The following is a 23,106-nucleotide window of genomic DNA, read 5'->3' on the forward strand; positions in this document are numbered from 1 at the left end:
ATACAGCCATTGGACACTTATGTGCAAAGACCAAGCATTCAGTATGGTTGCAAGATGGTCATTGCCAGTGATACTGGCAATGAACATGCATTTTGGTTAAAGGTCTTCAAATAGCCCCAATACAATAAACTGGAGGATGTTAGGGAAGGGGAGAGGTTACAGGACCTCTGTGTGGGAGAGATGCAACTTTCTCCACAAACAGCATTTGTTGGAATCAGCCCACTGCCAAGGACTAAGGTACCACAAACATGTCAACTCTATGTAAAGAATTTCAGCATTGTTACTCAATGCTAACAGTTAAATGTTTATTCAGAAAGAATCTTTAAAGGGGATAAAATCTGAATGTACTATTTATATTAAAAATTGAAGTAAGATCTTTTCCCACAAGCCTTAAATAAAGAAATAAGATGAAATTTTGATTTTAGTCACATCAGATAACATAGATGGAGAGTAAAATTAATCAGTTATAATAATGATGACCTTAATTGAGATTTAATTGGAAATAAAAATGATAGGTTTGGTTTATTCTTTTTCATTAGTCTTTTTAATTAGGAGATAAATGTGCTTATTGTAATAGTAAATTCAGAATATGGAGCAATTGATAAATTATAAGTTTATAGTATATTTGATGACTATGAAAGTGTGGGTCTATATGTACTAAACTGATATCTCATTTTAACTAGTATTCCATGGGTGTATTAAATTATAATCACTAGAGAAACATTATTTAGGCCTTTAATTGGTATTTTCTTCCTCTTTATTACTTGGGTGAATAGAAATAACCCAAAATAAGAAGAGTTTAAAAAGGGAAAACAAAAGAGAAGAAATTTGTAAATTGTAAGTTAGGCTGATAGTGGCAATATGAAAGGAAACCAAAAAGATCGATCCTTGGATAGGCCAAAATGCTGTGCTAACTATAGAGGAAAACAGATATTTAGAAAGAGAAAAAACTCAAGTCAAAGTAAAACTTTATTTTGCACAAGCAGTGGAAAAGGTTACAAGCTAAATCTGTATTATGTTCAACATAAGATGGACGTGTCCAAGTTGAGAACTCTTCAAGGTAGACTGTACAGTCCTGAGCTGAGAAGCTGCTACACAGCAGTCAAGACTGAACTTGATCACTGTCATCTAGGCAATTAGAGAGAAAACTCACTTCACCTCCAACTAGGAGGTTTTCCTCGGAATATGACATGATTGATTTATTTATATATTTATTTTTATTGTAAACAATAAAAGTAATGATGCCAACTTACCAAGGTGTCAGTACTAAATATTATCTCTAATATACTAAGTCCCAAGTGGCTATTTCTGATACTGAGAAACTAAGAAGGAATTTGTGTTCTATTACCAAAAAGCCTTAGACAATTAAAGTGGCAACATGAGAGTAAAATAAGGTCTCTCAGTATCAGCACTATTGACATTAGAGGCTTGATAATTCTCTTTTTGCTGGAGACTGTGTGTCCTGTACATTGCAGGATGTTTAGCAGCATCTCTGGCCTCTACACACTAGATGCTAGTTTCCTCCCCATTCCATAGCTGTGACAGTCAGAAACGTCTACAGACATTGCCTAATGTCCCCTGGGAGCAAAATCACTCATGGTTGAAAACCACTGCTTTATAGTAAGCCTGTAATATACAACCCACACCCTCCTTTTGGTCCCAAGATATTATAAGTAAGAAAATAAGCCAGGGACAAGGAGGTGTAGATTTCCTGTCACTGTTCCTTATCAACAGAGAAAGAGCAGCCTCCTCGCCTGCTTCAGCCCAGTGGAGCCATTTAAGGCAGCCCTTCCCGTCACTCATTCACTCACTTGAGGCAAAATCCACCCTGGAAAGATTTTTATTTTACAATCATATATAAAATATAGATGCCTGGTGCATGATTTTGAATTTTGACTTGATGCATGTCTTATGAAATGAATCATTCATGATGAAGACATGATACAATCTGTTGTAGAACAATATGCCATAGAGAACCTCATTAATAGGGTGGCTATTGTAAAATATGAACATTGCAGATCAGATCTTACTCTGCCATTTTACCAGTTAGTTGCAGCCCGCCGCAAGATTAGGGGTAGTGAAGATTGGAAATTTGGAAGCATGGTTGATAGAAAAAATTCTTTGTACATTCTGACTTAAATAGAACTCCTCAATAGGGAAACAGTTCTTATGAGGATTTTTCTTTGACTTTATGCAGAGAAGTAGCCTCAGATGCACATTTAACTTACCTAAATTCAATTCTCTTCAGTGAAGGGTCAGGTAGATAGAGGACAGGGGAGAGGTGAGGATTTACATAGTCCCAGGAATCCTGCTGCCCAGGTTTCCACAGAGTTAGCCTGTGCCCACAGGCAGGGAGGTAGGCGAATTGGAAACATTTCTACAAGCTGCTATAAAGCTCTGGTAAGAAAAGATGAATGACCCTCAAGCTTCCCCCACCACTGACAGAGAGAAGAGAAGCACATTCTCAGGTGACAGGCAAGTGGCTCCAGAGACATACTGACCAGGGAAGCATTAGAGGGAATCCTAAAATTGTCCCTAGATGGCAAAGGTGGTGACAGCCAAAAGTCAGATGTGGAAATCTTCATAAATGTGCTGAAGTGTCCTAGGCAGCAAAGCACTTAAATGATTTGATGATTAAATTCTTTCCATAATCCTTTTTTTTTTTTTTCAGACAGAGTCTCACTTTGTCACCCAGGCTGGAGTGCAGTAGCACAATCAGAGCTCTCTGCAGCCTCTAATCACTGAGCTGAGGCGATCCTCTTTCTTCAGCCTCCTTAGTAGCTGGGACTACAGGCATGTACCACCACAGCTGGCTAAGTTTTTTTTTTTTTTTTTTTTTTACAGAGACAGGGTCTCACTATGTTGCCTAGTCTGGTCTCAAACTCTTGGTCTCAAGCAGTCTTCCCACCTTGGCTTCCCAAAGTGCTGGGATTATAGGTTTGAGTCACCATGCCCAGCTTCCATAATTGTTTTTAGATTAATGTATATAAATTCCTGCACAGGGTTGGCTACTCTAAAAAACTTTGACAGCCGTGTCTCATGGATAATTTCAAGAGAGTCCAAGAGTGACTAGATGCAAACTTAAGACCCTAACCACCACCTTGGCTACATCTTCACTTTATACTTTCACAGGAGATTTTGGTCGTTAATTTTAAAAACTTATGCTGTGCTTCAAAAAAAAAAAAAAAAACAAAACCCCCCAAAAGACTGACCCAGTAGACGTTAGCTAATAATGTGTCACTATGGTTTCTAAATTGACAGAGGCTATTTTTACAGAAATTATTTCCACAATCAGAAGTACTGTACTGATTGCATTTCTTTGTCTCAAAAAGTTTTCCTTATGTTTCTCAAAGCAGTATTTACACTAATTATTCAATTCTTATCTTTCTTTCAGTTTTCTCCAATAGACTGTGAGATCTTTGAGGGCCAGGTTGACATGTCTCTGATACCTACACCCTATGCAGCTCCTAGTGCAGGACCTTGCAGTGACGAGCATTTAGGAAAGGAACAAAGAGTGAATATTCATTATGAGAACACAGGCCAAATGTAACCAGTGATCCTTTCCTATTAATTATTTTCTTTCTCTTATTAAACTCACAAAATTCAATGTCTTTTAAAGCACTGTTTTATTAAAATTAACCAAAAACTGAACTTCATCCAGCTAATTTACTTCCTTGTGATTTGCCAGATTCTCCCACTGCTTAAGTGATTAAGCAATTTGGAAAGTGAGTGTTTACTTCCCAAATGGAATTCCAGTAACCTAAAAAAGGCATGTCCTTAAGAACATGGCACAAGTAACATTGGAAGTTTGAGTGAGAACAGCAGTTGACCCTTTGTTCCATTCAGTTTTCCAGGTAATTATTATGAAGTCACTGGGATTAGCACTACTGTGCCACTGGAAATAGTGGCAGAATCTTCCAATGCAACAGACTTCAAAGATGGGAGATATGATGCTTTCTCAAGACTTCCTGGAGGATCTGGCATTTTTAGATGAGTGTAGATGGTGGATGTTTTCCATAGGCCCAAATGAGAATGTATTCAGAAGAAGGCGTTCAGGGCCCAAGCCATGGCAAAAACAAAGGCCACCAAGTGGGAAAGCAAGTGTGGGGTGTGCTGGACTGGTGGTGAGAGATCTAATTTGGCTGAATGAACACAAATATGGAGGACAGGGATGGGTGATAAAGGCTGGATGATGACTGAAACTCAGTAGTGGAAACTTGACTGTTGGAACAAGGAGAGTAGTTTTACTCAGAAAGCCAGCAAGAAGCCATTGGAACTGTATATGCTGTGGAGGCACATAACAGGAGTTATGCTGTGGAGATAATAATCTGGTGGCTTGCACAAGAAGAAACAATGATAGGGAAGAGACTAGATGTCAGAGACTAATAAAAGGCCACTGCAGGCTTTATCCACCATAGCCCCAAACTGTAAACAACTTAAACATTCATCAGCAGTAAAATACATAAATACATTGTTGCATAGCATTTCATCATATGAGTATAGCACAATGAAAAAGAATGCATCATTGCTCCATGTAACAACTTGGATGAATCTCAGAGACCAATGTTGAGCAAAAGAAATCCGACACAAATAATTCAATATATATGAAGTTCAAAAACAGGCAAAACTAGTCTATAGTGTTCGTCATCATAGTAGTGGTTGCCTCTGGGGAAGTATTGACTGGGAAGAAGCCTAAAGGGCCTTCTGAGGTGCTGGAAATAGTCTGTATACATGAGTGTATTCATATGTAAAAATTCATCGAACTGCATACTTCAGATCAGTACACTTTGCTGCATGTCTATTGTCCTGCAATAAAAAAATAGGAGTAAAAATAATCAAAGAAAGCTATTGCAATCATCTTGTGGAAGGGAAGGGGCCTTCACTAAGGACCAATGAGCATAAGCAGGAGACAAATGTCACACAGCACACATGAGGCAGACCGAGGGTTATGAGGACTTGGCAAGCGTTTGGATGAGGAGTCAGTGGAGGGAGAGGAGTAAGAGAGGGCTCTGAGATGACAAGTGCAGGTAAAGTGTAGAGATGTGTGGGTATGTGTTTGCGTGTAGCTATGGTAACTAAAGGGCTGGGATGATCACAGTATGTTGGGCACCATATATTTGGAATGACCATTTGATTTTCAGGGACATCACAACCTTGACAGAATTACCTCAGCTGTGAGGTCCTAGCATATTCCAGCATGCTCCTGCTCCCTTTGTTCCCAGCTACAGAAATACAAGAACTCACGGGCTGTACTTCCCATTTCACAATCCTCTGGCATCTCATTAACATCCACCTTGTATTCTACACAGATCCACTCTTCACTCTGAGAGAGTTAAATAAATACATTCTCACCAAGGTCATTGCAGAGCTTACATAGAAACCATCCTATATCCTGAAGATCCTGCAGTATGCAGTTTTAGGAAGCTTGTTTTTGTCTTTTCAGGGTCATTATGACCAAAGAATTTTGATGCTTGGTAGCTAATTTTCAAAGGCTACTTGGATTCTGTTACTGCGACCACACAGAGAGATCAGGAGGATGTACTTCCCTTGCCTATCTTTTCATTTCTATGTGTATATCTGGGCTCTGGAGAAGTGGACTTTGGACTTCTCTTCCCTGCTGTGCTCCGGGCTTGTGCATTTGAATTGAATGGTATAATAAGCTCTTGAAGGAGCGGGTGTGCTGGCAGCAGTTTGGAGTTTCCTGATGAAGCGTGCCACAACAGACACTGTAGGGGGGTGGATGACAGAGACCAGGCTTTCACAGAAAGGCAACAGGCTGTCCCAGAGACAATTGGGAACAATGTGCACTCTTCAGAGCAGTGCCCTGTTCCTGGCTTACCAAGGCAGGGAAGGTGGCCCAGGAGCCATATTGGCATTTGCTAAGGAAAAAAAAATGGGGGATGGCTTAATTATATGAACATAAATGTTTTGTTTTAATAAAAATCTTGACCAAATAACTGCCCAGCCAACTCCAGGGAGCCAGCGTGGCATGCGCCAAATGTCGAAAGGGCTTTTCTTCCCCTGGCAGTTCAACATTTGTGTGTAGAAGCTAGAAATATTTTACTTATGGCTGAGATATTCCCTCCCTGGATTTCTTCTAGAGTAAACTTTTTCTGGAAAGGACTACGGAGTAAATATGTCAAGCTTTGCGGGCTATATAATCCTTGTTGCAGCTACTCAACTCTGCTGTTATTGCATGACATATGCCATTGACAATATATAAACAAGTGAATATGGCTGGGTTCCAATACACCTTTATTTACCAAAACAGGTGGCTGTGGAATTTTGCCCAGGGGCTATAGTTTGCCAACCCTTGCTCCAGAGGCCCTTGCATGCTCACAGCCAAGTTCTGTTTGTCTTTGTGGGATTTGTCTACATGTAACTGTCTCTGCGAGACACTTAGTCATTTTCACTGTGCAGACGTTAAAATTTAAACCACTGATAGTGATTAAAAAAAATAAAAAAAAAGTCTTATGGTCTGTTTTCTTGCCTCTTAGGTGAGTGGCACCAAATTACTTAAAAATCTTTGAACTTGTGTTTGCAGTACTTAATAGTAATTCATGTTGTTTATGAAGTGAGAAATTGGTATATAAAAATAAGCTGATTTGATCATTTGGTCGTTTACTAAGCTGCATACACAGTGATGCATCTTAGTGATGCAGACTTCTGCACAGTGATGCAGAAGATGGCACAGGCCATCTTCTTGACTAACCATTGTATACCTAACTCCTAGTCATAGGTGCACAGTAAATGTTTGTTCAATGAATTAAGGAATGGAACACGCAGATACTATAGCCTAATATCTGAGAGTATCTATTTTGGAAACAAATTACTGTGGTACACTTGCAGTGTACAAAACGCGGTGTCCTCTTACATGATACCTTGGATCAGCATTCAGGCAGCGCATCCTTGCATTGTGTCCTGGTGTTGCAGATTTGCTCTGCTCTGTTGACACAGTCTTCCCGATCCCCTTGGTGTGAGAGTTGCTGATTGAATCACAAAGGACATCTGTGCTTGTGCAGGAGCAAAGCTAACAGGTCCCCACAGATTGGATTCTACTCATTTGTGTTCTGAGCACTGCCCTTCTAGCCTATTCTCAGTGAAAATGAAAGGAAACTTTCATGCACGTCCATGTGAAGAGACCACCGAACAGGCTTTGTGTGAGCAATAAAGCTTTTAATCACCTGGGTGCAGGCGGGTTGAGTCTGAAAAGAGAGTCAGCGAAGGGAGATAGGGGTGGAGCCGTTTTATAGGATTTGGGTAGGTAAAGGAAAATTACAGTCAAAGGGGGTTTGTTATCTGGTGGGCAGGAGTGGGGGGTCGCAAGGTGCTCAGTGGGGGAGCTTTTTGAGCCAGGATGAGCCAGGAAAAGGACTTTCACAAGGTAATGTCATCACTTAAGGCAAGGACCGGCCATTTTCACTTCTTTTGTGGTGGAATGTCATCAGTTAAGGTGGGGCAGGGCATATTCACTTCTTTTGTGATTCTTCAGTTACTTCAGGCCATCTGGGCGTATACGTGCAAGTCAAGGGGATGCGATGGCTTGGCTTGGGCTCAGAGGCCTGACAGAAACCATTAAAATAAAATTCAGAAACCATCAGCAACCCAGTTTCTCAACTTGCCTTCAGTAAATAAATATCATTGTCATAAATCAGTAGTTTTTCTTGAGGTATATCCAGCATAAAATAGCATTCATATTCATAGGGAATGTATTCATATGGAGCAAAAAAGGAGCAATTCTTGATGAAGCTTTGTTATCCCCAATCCAATGCAGCCAGGTTAACTTAATTTGAGAAGCTGATCATAATGGGTAACTATTTTCAATTAGGGCAGTACCCTAATATCAGAAATCTTTATCTGCTCAGCAGGCAAGAAAATCAATGATTAAATTTTCCACCCTATTTCTGCTGGTAGGTGGATGTTCCTCTCTAGATTTCTTGATGCTTTATTTATCCTTGAACTTTCTTTCTGTTGCCTTGAATTTTATATGTCTCATACAAACAGCATAAAGTTGGAATTTTAAAAATTTTAATCTGACTTTATCTTATAACTTCAGCTTTTATTTTACTATTTTGTAATGATGGATATTCACATGCATAGATTTAAATCTACCATCTTCTTTTGTGCTTTGTGTTTCTTTCAATGATTCCATGTTCCTTGTCTATTTTTTTGGTTGTTGTCTTATATTTTTTGGCGGGGCAGGGGGAAAGGGCGCAGAGGAAAGCTGGGCTTGCCAAGGCAGGGACTTTTCTGCTTCCATCTATCTTGTGCATCTACTGCCAATGATGACTGGGTATGGGTGTGACACATTTCCAGGGCTATCTGACTTGGCAGGTTTCTCTCCCTTTAGTGGTTACCATAAAAAATCAAACATGAATTGTTAGCTATCAAAATCTAAAGTTAATCAATATTTTTATCCTTCTCCCATGGAATAAGAAAAATATTTAAACTCCATAAAATTACTGTATATGCTGTTATTGTTATCGTGTATTTTAATTTGTCTCACAAGATAAGATGAATTTTGCTTGATACGGTCAGTGTTGGTTTGGAGTTACCCAAATATATTTTGTATTTTCTTTGAACTTCTTTTCTTCATGCATCTTAAGAATTTCTTCTGGCATCTTTCTTCTTTTTTTTTAACCTGGTTTATATATATGCTTTAGAATTTCATTTCAAGTGCCTCTGTTGGTGGTCAACTATTTCTATTTTAATTTGCCTTAAAAATGTATTTATTTTGCTTTTTATTCTTAAAAGGTATTTTTGTTGATTATATTATTCTAGGTTGGCAATTATTTTCTCTTAGCTCATTAAGGGTATAATTCCACTGTCTTGTAACTTCCGTTGTTGCTGAGAAGTCCGCTTTAAGTCTCATAATTCTTTTCAAGATAATATCTTTTTTACTCTGGGTACTTTAAAAATATATACATTTCTAGATATGTATTTCATTTCTAATTTTTGTGTTTTCTTTTCATTTATACTCTTTGTTCTTTGGTAATTTGGACTTCTTGAAGCTGTATAATAATGTATTTTATCAGAGTAAAATATTATCAGATCTTACGTCTTCAAGTATTGCCTCTCTTCAATACTCTTTAGTAAATGTAGGTTAGATACTCTCACTGGAGTCTCTATATCTTTTACCCTCTCTTCTGTATTTACCAACATCTCTGTGCTCCACTCTGGATAATTTATTCTGCTTCATTTTCCAGTTCAATAATTCTTTCTTCAGCTCTGCTTGATTTTCTGTTAAAGGTGTCCATTGGGTTTTTTAATTAGTTTTTATATTTTTATTTATATAATTCCTATTTGCTTCCTTTTCAACTCTGCTCCATTACTTTTTTTTTTTTTTTTTTTTTTTTTTTTTTGGAGATGGAGTCTCGCTCTGTTGCCCAGGCTGGAGTGCAGTGGTGCGATTTTGGCTCACTGCAAGCTCTGCCTCCCAGGTTCATGCCATTCTCCTGCCTCAGCCTCCCGAGTAGCTGGGACTACAGGCGCCTGCCACCACGCCCAGCTAATTTTTTTGTATTTTTAGTAGAGACGGGGTTTCACCATGTTAGCCAGGATGGTCTCAATCTCCTGACCTCGTGATCCACCCACCTCAGCCTCCCAAAGTGCTGGGATTACAGGTGTGAGCCACCGCGCCTGGCCCTCCATTACTTTTTGTACTTTCCTGTTCTTTGTAGATTTAAGGTGATGTTTTTGTTTGTTTCCACTTGTTCAGTTGTTTTCACACAGAAGGCTGTCACAAATAAACTTCTTATTACTGGAAACTGAATGCCCTTGTTTATGCATTCCTTTTTTCTTTCTGGAAGACAGCATCCTAAGGTCCTTGATTTTATCAGCTTAATTACAGACCACTTACAATTATAAATGACTTCTTTTAAGAGACCAAGTGCTTTCTTATGGTGGGATTCCTCTGCAAATTGACACCATTCCCTGCCCTCACTACAGAGTAGAATATTGGGGTCAAGAAACCATCAGTAATAATTGAGTACGCACCCATGCTGCAATGAGAGGACAAAAGGAGGGAGCCCAGTGCCTTGGCAGAGGATGTCAGGGAAGACTATGGGGGAGCGATGGATGGAGAATGAGGGAGATCATCCAGTAGACCATGTCTCAAAAGAAGGAGGAAAAACAAGGTCCTGAAAGTGCTTATATTTCATTAGGGAGGTGGAGAAAAAAGGGACAAAAAAGTGACTGAGAAGTAATAATTAACAATCAGAAAGACACTAGAGTTCATCCTGGGAGCCACGGAGGGACAAGTTTCAAACTTGAGAAGATGAAGACTGCAGCAGGCAGTTTGGTAGTCATTAGTGATCTTTGTGTCATTAGTGATTAGGAGGTAGAAGTCAGGACTCTGGAGTCAGGGGTAGTGACAAAATGTAGGGTTTGTAGATTTAGGGATGGAATCATGGGATAGCACCTTGAGGAGATTGCAGTAGGTGTTGGCAAACTGTGGCCTGCAAGCCAGATCTAGCCCACTACCTGTTTTGCAAAGTGGGGAATAGAAAGGAAAAGGCTGATGGTCACAGTGGAAAAGTGGCTAATTGATGAGGCTAGCTCTCAAGGAGATGAGATCTGGAAAGCTGGTGGAACAATCAACTTTCAAGGGGTTAGGACTTGCTCTGAATCAACAGATAGGAGGAATGAGCAAATGGATAAATCTACCAAAACTTTGAATTTTGAGAGGGAGCTCAAGATCAAAGTTTTAGAGATCATTTTCTTTTTGTAATGTAAATATCCAGAAAGTTGGAAAACTCTAACCCTTTGAAAGGGTAAGTCTTTGTGAGGTTTTTTCCCCATTTCATTCATTTCATTCATCTTAATAACCAACTTCTTTAAATTTCTTGGGGGATGGATAGTTTCATTTTTATTGTATGAATCTGGTACCTGACTTGTGCTTTCCACTATTTTTAATTTCTCTTTTTTCCTCTCAATGGAGCTGACTGCCCCACCCCCATGAATTTTTCTAAAATTTCTCAGTCTTCAAGAGTTAAAATGTAACTTCTCTAAAATTTAATGTTATGTGTGTAATGTAATGTAAATTTGTTAAGCTAGAAAATGGAAATTGTGACCAAGGAATAAAAGTTGTCTATAAACATTGTATCAGTAAGTGATGTTAAAACTGTTCTAGGTTTCAAATTTGGTGAATATTTCTGGAATTCAGGGCAAAACACAAGACATTGAAGCTTATATAGTTCTCATTATCAGAAAACTGAAAGTGTTTGTTCAATCAACTAATTACTGATTACCTTCTATCAATTAGGCATGGAGAAATGTGTAAATCTAAGACACTTTTAAAAAGTCGTTCAGAGTGAAGAGAGAGGAAACAACTGAGTCAGTTTCACTACAGGTAATAAGGGCAGTGATATAAGAGAACTCAGGGTAACTTGGAATCACAAAGATGGTCATTCAAGCCAGTTTGGAGTTATGAAGCGGGCTTCCTGAAGGAAGTGGGCCTAAATTGTCTGAAAGCTGTGGCTTGCAAGCTTTAGGTTTCCCAAGAATCACCTGGAGATCCCAGAGCTGGAACTGACTTACAAAATCGGTTTTGGGAGTGAGACTGAGGATTCTGTGCAGGTGGTCTGGTGGTCGTGGACCCTATACTGAGCAACTGGGCTTTAAAGGATGCATAAAAATTATTCAGTGGTAATTGAGATAATATCCCATTGAGATGCTCAGAACATAGAAATCTCAATTTCAAATGAGTCTGTAGTTGCTTTGGGAAAATCTGAGGTTATGAACATTGAGTGCTTATGGTTTATGTATGTTTTTATGACTTTTTTTTAACTTGGTAATAGACCTGTTAGACCTCTGTGTCTCTTTCTCCCTCCTGAATGTGTCACTAGTCCACTTAAGAGACAAGTGACTAGAGGACAGCTTGATGAAAGAGGGACTCTAATTAGTGACACAGCTAACACTGTGAAAGTGGAGGCATCTGCTACAGTTGCTAAATATAATTGCTAGAGAAAAGTTTATAAATATTCATTTAAATGTATTTCTCAAAGGCTCATGTTTGGAACCACAGCTGCTGGGTTGCCTAAAGAAACATAAATGTGCCACAATTAATGCATTCTTAAAGAAAGAAAAAAATGCTTTATCTTTAATGTGCAGGCATTTGAGTAAACACCATGGATCAGCAATTTCCGTAGCTACCATTTTGCATGTCATATTTATTAGATGGTGTTACTACTTATACTTTAGAAATTCGGTAGTTTCTCTGATTATGGCTTTCTAGATTTAACAGTTATAAATTTAACTTGTGCCGAGTGACTAATATACTATTTAATGTCTTGTGTGATTAAGTTTTGAGTTTCCTTGCCAGAAAATTTGGCTAAAGACTATTAAAATGAATTTCATTTTCCTTTCAAACAGAAATCTGGAAACCCCATTTCAAAATTCCAAATTTTTCTTTTCATAAAAATAGTATTGGGTTAATCTTCCATTTTGTTCTCTTGAGATTAGTGTAGTAATAATTATTCACTGACCACTTGTACTGCAGTATGTGTCCAAATGTGAATGAAAGGACACATTCCTGTGTCAGTCTCATGTAATCTCATATATTGAATTTGGTGGGTTTGCAGGAAGAGACATAGCAAAGAACAGAGGCAGCCTGGGAAAGCCCCCTGGTGATGTTGGCGGGTATGTAGGTGCCTGAGAATAAGAAGGAGAAACGTGGATAAAAAAATATGCAGATTTTCAAGGATAAAGTAGGCAAGACACATCAATGACCTCATTACCAGAGGCTAGAACAAGGCACAGAGCAGACTGCAAAATGAACAGATGAGAATGAGAACTATGCAGCAACAAACAAAATGTTGTCATGGGAGCTTGATACTCATGCAAGATTTGGCCAAAGATTTGTGCCTGTGGAGGACCTAAATCTAAAGGAGTGGTTCTCAACTGGGGTTGATTTCTGTCCCTCAGGGAATATTTGGCAATGTCTAAAGACATTTTTGGTTGTGGTTCTCAACAGGGGGTAGGGGTTATGGAACTGGCATCTAGTGGGCAAAGGCCAGGCATGCTACTAAATGTCTTACATTGCACTGCACAGTCCCATAATAAAGAATTATCTAGCCCAAAATATCAGTTATGCTGATGGTGAGAAACCCCTCTCTTTAGCCAAGAGGCTAACCTGAGACAAAGATATTATTCAATGTAAGCATAGACCTCAAATGATACCTCTCAGGTGTTATTTACTAAACTGGGTGAATTGTTATAATGTGTGTCCATTTCCAGATTTTTATTTATTTATTTTTTTTGAGACAGTCTCGTTCTGTTGCCCAGGCTGGAGTTCAGTGGCACGATCTCAGCTCACCACAAACTCCACCTCCTGGGTTCAAGCTATTCTCCTGCCTCAGCCTCCCGAGTAGCTGGGATTACAGGTGCATGCCACCACGCACAGCTAATTTTTGTGTTTTTTTTTTTAGTAGAGACGAGGTTTCACCATGTTGGCCAGGCTGGTCTTGAACTCCTGATCTCAGGTGATCCACCCGCCTCGGCCTCCCAAAGTGCCGGGATTACAGGCGTGAGCTGCCGTGCCCAGCCCATTTCCAGATTTTTTAAAAAGCAACAGCTTAGGTGGTAATTAAAAATATTCTCAACCATTGTGTGTTTGAAGATATAACCATCATAGCTTTTATTAAATTCAACTGAAAACTTGCTGATATTATTTATTTTGTATCGAACATGACCAGTTTTGTTGATACTTTTCACATTTCCCTTTTCTTATTATTTTGCATTCACTTCTGAAATGTATTCCATCACAAGGGTATCCAGGTAAATCCACTACTAGGTGTGCTTTCTTTTAGCATTACAAAGAGTACCATTAAAAAAACAAAACAAAACCCAGAGTTGTTTTACTTTTTTTTTTTTTAAAGCTCAGAGTTCTATGGTGTTCTTGTCTTTTACATTACAAAGGTTGGTTTAAAGCCAGGCACATAGCAGTTAGGATGCACTGATCACACTTTCTGGTTTAGAAGCAAAAATCTTTTACAGTTATGGTGATCATTATTGAAAATGGCATGTACAATTTAGCATTTTTAGTGTTAGTAAAATCGTTAAAATTTATATCCAGTGAAAAATGTTTAGTTCAGAATTAATGAACTTCCTATTGCCATTTTAAGATCTGAATGCTGAAGCCATTTGAATTTTAAGGTCTCTCACGGCTGCATAAATTGGATTTCAAGTAAATGGCAAAGACATGTATGCAGTCTTGTCAGCATTAAGAAACAGATTTCCTTTATTCTGTTTTGCTCTGATAAGAACGTAGAGGAAAGGATAGTCTCTTCAATAAATGGTCCTGGGGAAACTGGATATTCATATGCAGAAGAGTGAAACTAGACTGTCTATCTCTCACCATATACAAAATCAAATCAAAATGAATTAAAGACTTAAATTTAAGACCTAAAACTATAAAACTACTAGAAGAAAACATTCAGGAAATGCCTCCAAACATTGGACTGGGCAAAGATTTTTTGAATAAGGCCTCAAAAGCGCAGACAGCCAACATAAAAATTGACAAATGGGATTACATCAAGCTAAAAAGCTTCTGCACAACAAAGGAAGCAATCAACAAAGTAAAGAGACAGCCCACGGAATGGGAGAAAATATTTGCAAATTATTCATCCAGCAAGGGATTAACAACTAGAATATACAAGGAAGTCAAACAACTAAATAGCAAAAAAAAAAAAAAAAAACAAAAAAAACAAAAACCCAAGTAATCTGATTAAAAACTGAATAAAAATCTGAATAGACATTTCTCAAAAGAAGACATACAACTGGCCAACAAGTATATGAAAAAATGCTCAGCATCACTTATTATCAAGGAAATGCAAATCAAAAATACGATGAGATATCATCTCACCCCAGTTAGAATGGCTATTATCAAAAGACGGAAAATAACAAATGCTGGAGAGAATGTGGAGAAAGGGGAACACTAATATGCTGTTGGTGGGAATGTACGGTCACTGTGGAAAACAGGATGGAGGTTCCTCAATAAGATAAAAATAGAACTACCATATGATCCAACAATCCCACTGCTGGGTATTTATTTAAAAGAAAGGAAATCAGCATATCAAGGAGATATCTGCACTCTCATGTTTATTGCAGCACTACTTACAATAGTCAAGATATGGATCAACCTAAGTGCCCATCAGTGGATGAATGGATAAAGTAAATATAGTATATATACTCAATGGAGTATTATTCAGCCATATAAAAAGAATGAAATCTTGTCATTTGCAGCAATGCAAATGGAATTGTAGGACATTATGTTAAGTGAAATAAGCTAGACACAGAAAGACAAATAATACATTTTCTCATTCATATGTGGGAGCTGACCAGCTGAGGCAGCTCACATCTATAATCCCAGCACTTTGGGAGGCTAAGATGGGAGAATCGCTTGAATTCAGAAGCTCAAGACCAGCCTAGGCAACACAGTGAGACACTGTCTCTACAAAAAATGAAAAATTAGCCGAGTGTGGTGGTGCATGCCTGTGGTCCTAGCTACTTGGGAGGCTGAGATCGGAGGATTGCTTCACTCGGGAAGTCAAGGCTACAGTAAGCCATGATCCTTCTACTACACTCCAGCCTGGGTGACAGAGCAAGACTCTGTCTCAAAACAAACAAACAAGCAAACAAACAAAACATATGTGGAAGCTAAGAAAATTGACCTCATGGAGGTAGAGAGTAGAATGGTGGTTACCAGAGGCTGGGAAGGGTAGGAGATGGAGATGAAGACGAGTTAGTTAGTGGATACAAAAATACAGTTAGGTAGAATGAATAAGTTCCAGTGTTTGATAGTGCAATAGGGTGTCTATAGTTAACAATAATTTATTGTATATTTGCAAATAGCTAAAAGAAAAGATTTGGAATGTTCCCAACACAGAGAAATGATAAATGTTGCAGGCAAAAAATATTTTAATTACCCAGATTCGATCATTATAAATGCACAGCTTTATGTATCCATAAAAATTAAAAAGAAAAAATAATTAAAAAAAAAACATAGGGGAAAGCACCGGGAATTTTTAGATGAAATGACGACAATTTCAAAGGTATAAGTTTTTTGTCACTTTTGATTGTCTTTTTTGGAAAAATCAGAGTTGTTTGGGATGAGAACACAATTCTGTTCAGTTAGCTTTCCAAATATTGATGTAAGTTTCCCCAAAGCCTACACTGTGTCCCTTGTCCCTTCATTGACACATTGTCTATGGTTGCTTTCAGGCTGCAAAGACAGAGTTGAATAGTTGCCACAGAGACCCGATGGCCTGAAAAGCTGAAAGTATTTACTGCCTGAGCCTTTATAGATAAAGACTGCCAACCCTTGGTCTAGATTAGTAATGCCACCGTGGAAAAGAGTTGTTCTTCCCTGTCTTGCATGCAGGCAGTATTTTTCAGAATGCATTATAGTACTTGTTCTCATACGCAGCTGCATTTTGCAATTATCTGGAAAGTTTTAGAAAGTCCTAATGCCTGGACCCACCCCCAGGGATTCTGATGTAATTAGTATAGAGGAGGCCCTGGACACCAGGATGTTTAAAAACGACCCAGGTGGTTCCCATGTGTAGCCAACTTTGAGAACCATTGCCTTATGTTGCTACACACTCCGGTAAGGGAAGATAGTTTCTCCCCACAGGCTGGATCTGCCCCCAAGTAGCATCGCGAGTATCATTCTTACCTGCAAGTTCCAGTGACATAATGCTTGAGGCAGGCTGTCCCCAGACTTAGTGGAAAGAGGACAGGCTTGGGAATAGCAGCCCATCTTCAAACCTTAAGTTTCTTTAAACTTCCTCAGGAATGTAGCAAGAAATGAGACTACCACTGTAAAATGCATTGAGTCTCCAGACTTAGATGAATGTAAAACCCAAGGGCTTCTATTGTCTATGGTTTCAGTGCTTTCCTTGGCTCTCTGGTGCCTATTTTTATCACTGAACAATAAAAATAAAATCTATTGGCAATGTTTCTCTTAGTTATCTTCCATTCAAATGTCAAGGGAAGATGATCTGAAGTTCTGGAAGTATGGCCATGGTCGATTTCTTTTTCTGCATGGTTTAGGAACTAAGGATTATTTCAGTAATAATCCTATTTCTGAAAACCTGCCACATCATGTTACTTTGCAGCTCTGTGCGTGGCTGTCATTGTAAACACTGTTTAGAGAACCTTTATCAGCATTTATAAAGCATTTAGTATAATTTGCTGTGAAACCACTGGTGTTTTTTTAGCTTAATAGAGTCAGCACATATGGAGTATTTGGAAGATAGCAGTTTACATCCTATAAAATGACTTTTGAGTCTAAAGCACTTTTATCTCAGCCATTTAAAATGATTGATTAGTTAATTTACACTGCCAGGTACTGTTCTCATTTTACAAATGAGGGAAATGAGGCAAAAAGAGGACAGGGGACTTCTTCAAGGCCACGCAGCAAGGTAGGGGCAATTGAAAACTGGAACTCCCCAGGCTGAGCTCTCCTATCTAATATTTCCCTCTGGTGCAGGAGAGTAAAAATGCAAGTCTCTAAACCCCAGCAGTCTACATCCTGAATGCAAAGCACCCCCAGCAGATGCTTATAGTAAAACACATGACCGAATCGCTGCTCCTTGCTTGAGGAAAACTTCTGCAAACTTTATTATTATATTTTGCTTGAAATGGTGTAAACACAAATAGATCCATTGAGAAACAGACATTTTGCTTTTTAAAATTAAACTGGGACTCCAGGTAGGTAGCATCATCCATAGAACAGTTAGGAGTTCATTTCACCAGTGTTCTAAAGGGGCAGGTGATAATCAGCATATGCTTTCTTAATGGCATGGTTTAGCATGTGGTTATGTTGTTTATTTAATTCAGAAGTCTTTTAAAAGCGATACTGTAAAATGTGACTAGCCAGAAGACAAGGAAAACAGGAATGTTCCCAACTTAATCAACTGTACCTGGAAAGAATAACTAAAAACTGAAAAAAAAATCCTTATTAGGAGTTTATTAAAATTTTTAATTTGCAGCCTAAGTACCAACAGAGAAACTTTGTCCTGTACAGTGTAATCAGATTTAATATTCATGACACTGACCCCAAGGCAAAGCTAGACTCAGTTATCAAACAAGATTCACTTTTCTCTATATACTTTCTAAGGCAGCAGAATACATTTTTTAAATTGTAGAAAATATTCCATAATCATGGCTAAGCCAGATCTACTCATCAAAAATTTCAGCTAATTGAGTTTATTGCTTTGACACTTTAAATATAAGGAGACTTGGCTTGAGATAACAAATGTATCCAGCAATGTATGTCCTGGAGAACAAATTTTTGTAAAATTATACCTTTTGCTCACTTATTGGGTGGCTAAGAGTTTTCATAGCAGAGTCATACCTGATAAAGAAGTGGATTGTCTCATTTATAAATTATAAACCTAGTGGGTAGACGTATACAGATGGTCCCCAACTTATGATATTTTGACTTAGGATTTTTTGACTTTACTGTGGTGGGAAAGTGATATGCATTCAATTACCCACACAATCATTTTATTTTTTACTTTCAGTACAATATTCAATAAATTACATGAGATATTCAACACCTTACTATAAAATAGGCTTTATGTTAGATGATGTTGCCCAACTGTAGGCTAATGTAAGTGTTGTGAGCACATTTAAAGTAGGCTAAGCTAAGCTATGATGTTCAGTAGGTTAGATGTACCGAATGCATTTTCGACTTAAGATATTTACAACTTACAATGCGTTTATTGGGATCTAACCTCATTGTAAGTCTAAGAGTGTCTGTACATTTATGTTAATTAAGATTTTATCATTACCTGATCTCTGTCCTCATGAAGCTTACAAGTTGGGGGAGTTTAGTGACAAGCAGGAACCAACTAAGTAAGTCCAGGTGTGGTTAATGCTATAAAGAAGCATCAGACAGACCTTAGGAAGCAGCATATCTGCTGGGCTCACTCTTCACACTTGTATAAATTCAATCAGTGAGGAAACTGTGAACTCAGATGGATTGACACCATCTGTTACTCAAGGCACAGCACGTTCACATCAGTTCCCTTTGCCCCCTAAGTTCTGCAGGGTGATGTGGAAGGGGGCCTGGGTAGATGCTGTGCAGTCAGTGGGTTTGTGTCAGAGCTGAGAAACACTGAGTTGAGAAAACTCCCAGTTGTATATGGGGTCTGCTAGCAAACTTGCCCATCTTCCCCTCCAGAGAGAGATCTCATTATTAACTTGGAATATAAGCAGATCTTCTCTGGGGATTGGAAGGAGAATGAAAAGGGAGGAATCTCTGCCTTCTCTATCCTGGTCAGGAAACAAATCTGTGACCCAGGACTATACTATCTCTAGCTTCCAAGGCCATTTGCTATTGAAACATCCTTGTACAAAGCTATCAGTACTCTTCACTCAGAGAACATGCAGAAACATCTGAATTATCTCCCAACAAGGAAATAAGTGATGTGATACAAGGTAATTGAAGGATGTCAGGGGAATGAGAAGCTGACCCCAGAGTGGATATATGGAGAGGGGCAACTGGTCCTAGGAAGAACTGGGAAAGGGTGTTTCCAGAGGCAACAACATGAGGTGGATGATGTGCTTGGTGTGTTCAAGGGATGCCAAGAAGAGCAGCATGGCAGGAGCTGCATGGGCAAGCAGAAAGGTAGCTGGGGCAAATTTGGGAGGGTACAGGAGCCAGGTCATTCAGGGCCTTGTAGGTCGTAGTTTGAGTTGGGAGTTCATCAGAAGAGTGATGGGAAACCTGTGCTGCTCTGTAAGGCATGAGTGACCTGTATTTTCAAATTACAGCTCCAAACCATGTAGTGGGTAAGTCAGTCAATTTTGCTGGTCATACGTAGCATTTCATTTTTAAATAATGAGATAGAATAAGACAGAAGATATCAGTGCCTTTTATGTAGTGGAATGCCTTATATAAATATTGTTTCATGAAACTTTCATTTATTATCAAATTTCAATATTAACTTTTATTAATTAACATTAGTTATATATTATATAATTAATTAGAATTGATGTTAATTAATATTGACATTTTTCCCATGTTGACATCTCTTCTAAAGTCAAGATGGGTCTCACAATCAATAGTATCTAAAGTTTGATGAACTATGCTATGAACGTTTTATATGTGCATGTGTGAAGTGTATTGCTATGTGGTATTTATTTCTGAGTATGGGTCACAGTCACTATTTTACCTTCAAAGGCCTAGTTATGGTAGCAAGGTTGGGGCAGCCTGGGGAAAGTGGAATACCACCTAGAATTGGATGCCCCCATTCTGGGTGGGGTAATTGAGAGAAGATATAAGTAGCCTTGGGCTCTGGAAGCAAATAGAGTTGTTTCACTGGCCAACTATACCAGACAAGTGTGATCAAGCCATCAGAGTCAGACATTGACAATCAGATGTAATGGGGCTGGAAGAATACCCTGTGAACAGAGGGAATCCAGGATCTGACAAGGCTTTTGGGCTCTTCATAGCAGCATGCCTGATTGGTTAAACCAGCAGGAGTGAAGCCTCAGCCTTTAGTGGCATATGGTGCCAGGATGGTTACTAAGATGAGGTCTTTGGCATAAAGAACCAGGCTCAAGTCCCCTCACAAAGGATGGAGCAGCCAGGCTGTGGCACTAGGGAGCCAGCCTCAGGATGAAGAAACTGCTCTTTACTGGGGTCACCTCCTTAACCACTTCTCAACCAGGCCCAACATGTTGTTTGCCTACTGCTTCCTCTTTTTGTTGAACTCTTAGTTACCTCTATAGAGGAGCCATTTTTTAAAGATATGCTCAGGAAGAGAGCCCACCTGACTCTGCTTTGGGTGTCTAAGGTGAGGGGACTGGGTCTCTGGGACCAAATGGAAGTCAAGCTAAGGCCTTTCTAGCAAAGAGGGCAACTGGAGTCCCTGAGTGTTGGGTTGGGTTTACGTGAATCCTATGTGTATAAATCTGAGTATAATCCCTCTTAGAGCAGGTCTGAGCCTTTGGGTTAGAGCAGGATCGGTTGCTATAAGTAAGAGGAGGATGCTGTGTTTGAATCCTGGTGTGGCTTACACCATCTCACCTCTTGAGAGGATGAAATGACTGATGAGTGTATAAACCACCATGAGGAGGTTGTGTCAACAAATATAAGGAAGACATAAGAATCTGTGTGCCATGGCTTTGAAATAAAGCACTGTACTTCTTTCCCTCTCCAAGGTCTCTCTGATGAAACCCTATCTTCTTTACTCCATCGCAGACAGAAAGAGGGAACAAACACTATCTTTTAAGTATTGAACCTAGGCTGCAACTCCAGTCTAGCTAACTTCATCTTTTTAGCTTGATAATGATGTGTAGTTCAAGTTATGTAACCTTTTTCCAAGGAACTGAATTTAGTCATAACATCATTTGCCAACACGCACTCTAAAATATGCTCTTATTGTCAGTAGATTATGACTAAAATTAATCAAATCACTGAAGTCTGTCCATGACCAGTAAATTATCATGTAATAGTTAGTTCTTTACCTAATTCTTTGTTCAAACCATAGCTTCTGCCCTTCTTTGTGGGCTTTACAATATCAAAAGGCATTTCTTGAGCTTGACAAATTGACACATTTGGCTTGTTTATTAATTGTTTTCAAGGATAACAAAATTTTTAACATTATTTTAATGCATTATGGACAGTTTCTGCCAGTCAACTGAAGTGCAATTTGAAAATAAACATGCTACAGATAATTTTTTCTGATTTTCTTGTTATTTTGGCTTATCTATAACAAATTTCATGCCTTATGTTCTCAAATATCAAGTGCCTAGATTCTTTCACTTAGATTTTAATTGACATGAAACTACATTCATAAATATGTATGTTGATACATCCAAATGAATTACCTTTTCTTTAGTCAATATATTTAGGAAGTAATTACTATTACTAATATATTTTCTAATTAGGTAAGATAATGGGTGTGGATTTTTAAAAATGTATAATAGACTTCTACTGAGCAAAAGCTGGTATTTCATGGTCTTTTAATATCTGTGTACAAGAACAGTTCTACCAATTCAATAAAATTCTGTGAAGACAAAAAACAATTTTGTTTGATGCTTTGTCAAAGCTATAAACTCTTAGTGTAATCTCCATTGGGTTTATTTTTATTTCTGTGATGTTTCCCTCACCCAAAATACAAATTAAAATGTGCCAAAGAGGAAAGTATTTTAAATGAACCCAACCTGTTTTCCTTTATTCTTGAAAAATATTATTTGTTATACAATAATATATGAAACTTTCCTATACTATTTTTAATTTTTTTGTATTAGACTCATGTGTAATACATCTTTTAAAAAGTAATGTTGAATGAATACTGAAAACGTAGAGTCTAAATTTTCCAACTCTTTGGGATTGGAATGTATCTAAGCTGAATAACTCAATTTCACTTTGAGGCAGTTTTAACATTGAAGGGAATGCTGACAAGCCTGTGGCACAGAAAGCCAAAAAAATTTGCCATCTGGCCTTTCACAGAAAATGTAATCCAACTGCATTATTCAAATTATTTGGTGTTTGTTGTATTCATGGAAAGTAGTCTTTAAGATTGAAAGTTTGGCATTACTGCACTGAAATGGGGCACTTGAAGTTATTGCATTTTCAGGATATACTGTCTCTGTCACAATGACTGAACTCTGCCGTATAGCATGAAAGCAGCCAAGGACAATATGGAAACAAATGAGTGTGGCTGTGTGCCAATAAAACTTTATTTATAAAAACAGGATCAGGCTGGATTTGGCTCACCAGTAACTTGCCAACCCCTTCAAACCTTTGTTATTCAAAGAATAATCTATGTGCTAGAAATATCAGCATTCCCTGAAGCTCTAAAATGCAGACCCTCAGGCCCCACCTCAGACATACTGAAGTAGAATCTACATTTTAACAGGATTCCCAGGAGATTCATATGAGCCTTAAAGTTAGAGGATCATTGCCCTAAACTACTCTTCAAGGTGAAGTAACGGGTTACTCCTAGGAAGATGTGTGAAATGAATAAGTATGTTGACTGGGGCTTAAGACTAGGTTTAGCAGGTGAAGAGCACGCTGTTTCACTGTGGACTTCTAAATGCTAGAATATGGAGACCTTTATCTGGCCCACCAATAATTTTCACTTCCTA

At 38.5% G+C, this 23,106-nt stretch overlaps 1 protein-coding gene across 11 annotated transcripts in view, besides 1 other annotated feature; it reads left to right on the forward strand.

Moving 5' to 3' along the window:
- Nucleotides 1-23,106, forward strand: part of FRMPD4 (FERM and PDZ domain containing 4) — a 902,085-nt gene that overhangs the window by 480,469 nt on the left and 398,510 nt on the right. The window lies entirely within an intron of this gene.
- Nucleotides 6,741-7,244: an enhancer, noted in NCBI's record as "OCT4-NANOG-H3K27ac hESC enhancer chrX:12327767-12328270 (GRCh37/hg19 assembly coordinates)". NCBI's record gives its function as "activates a minimal SCP1, AML or CMV promoter by ChIP-STARR-seq in naive H9 embryonic stem cells {active_cell/tissue: H9 hESC(naive)}" and the evidence as "EXISTENCE:reporter gene assay evidence [ECO:0000049][PMID:30033119]".

This window comes from Homo sapiens, chromosome X (assembly GCF_000001405.40).
Source record: "Homo sapiens chromosome X, GRCh38.p14 Primary Assembly".
Taxonomy (NCBI): domain Eukaryota; kingdom Metazoa; phylum Chordata; class Mammalia; order Primates; family Hominidae; genus Homo; species Homo sapiens.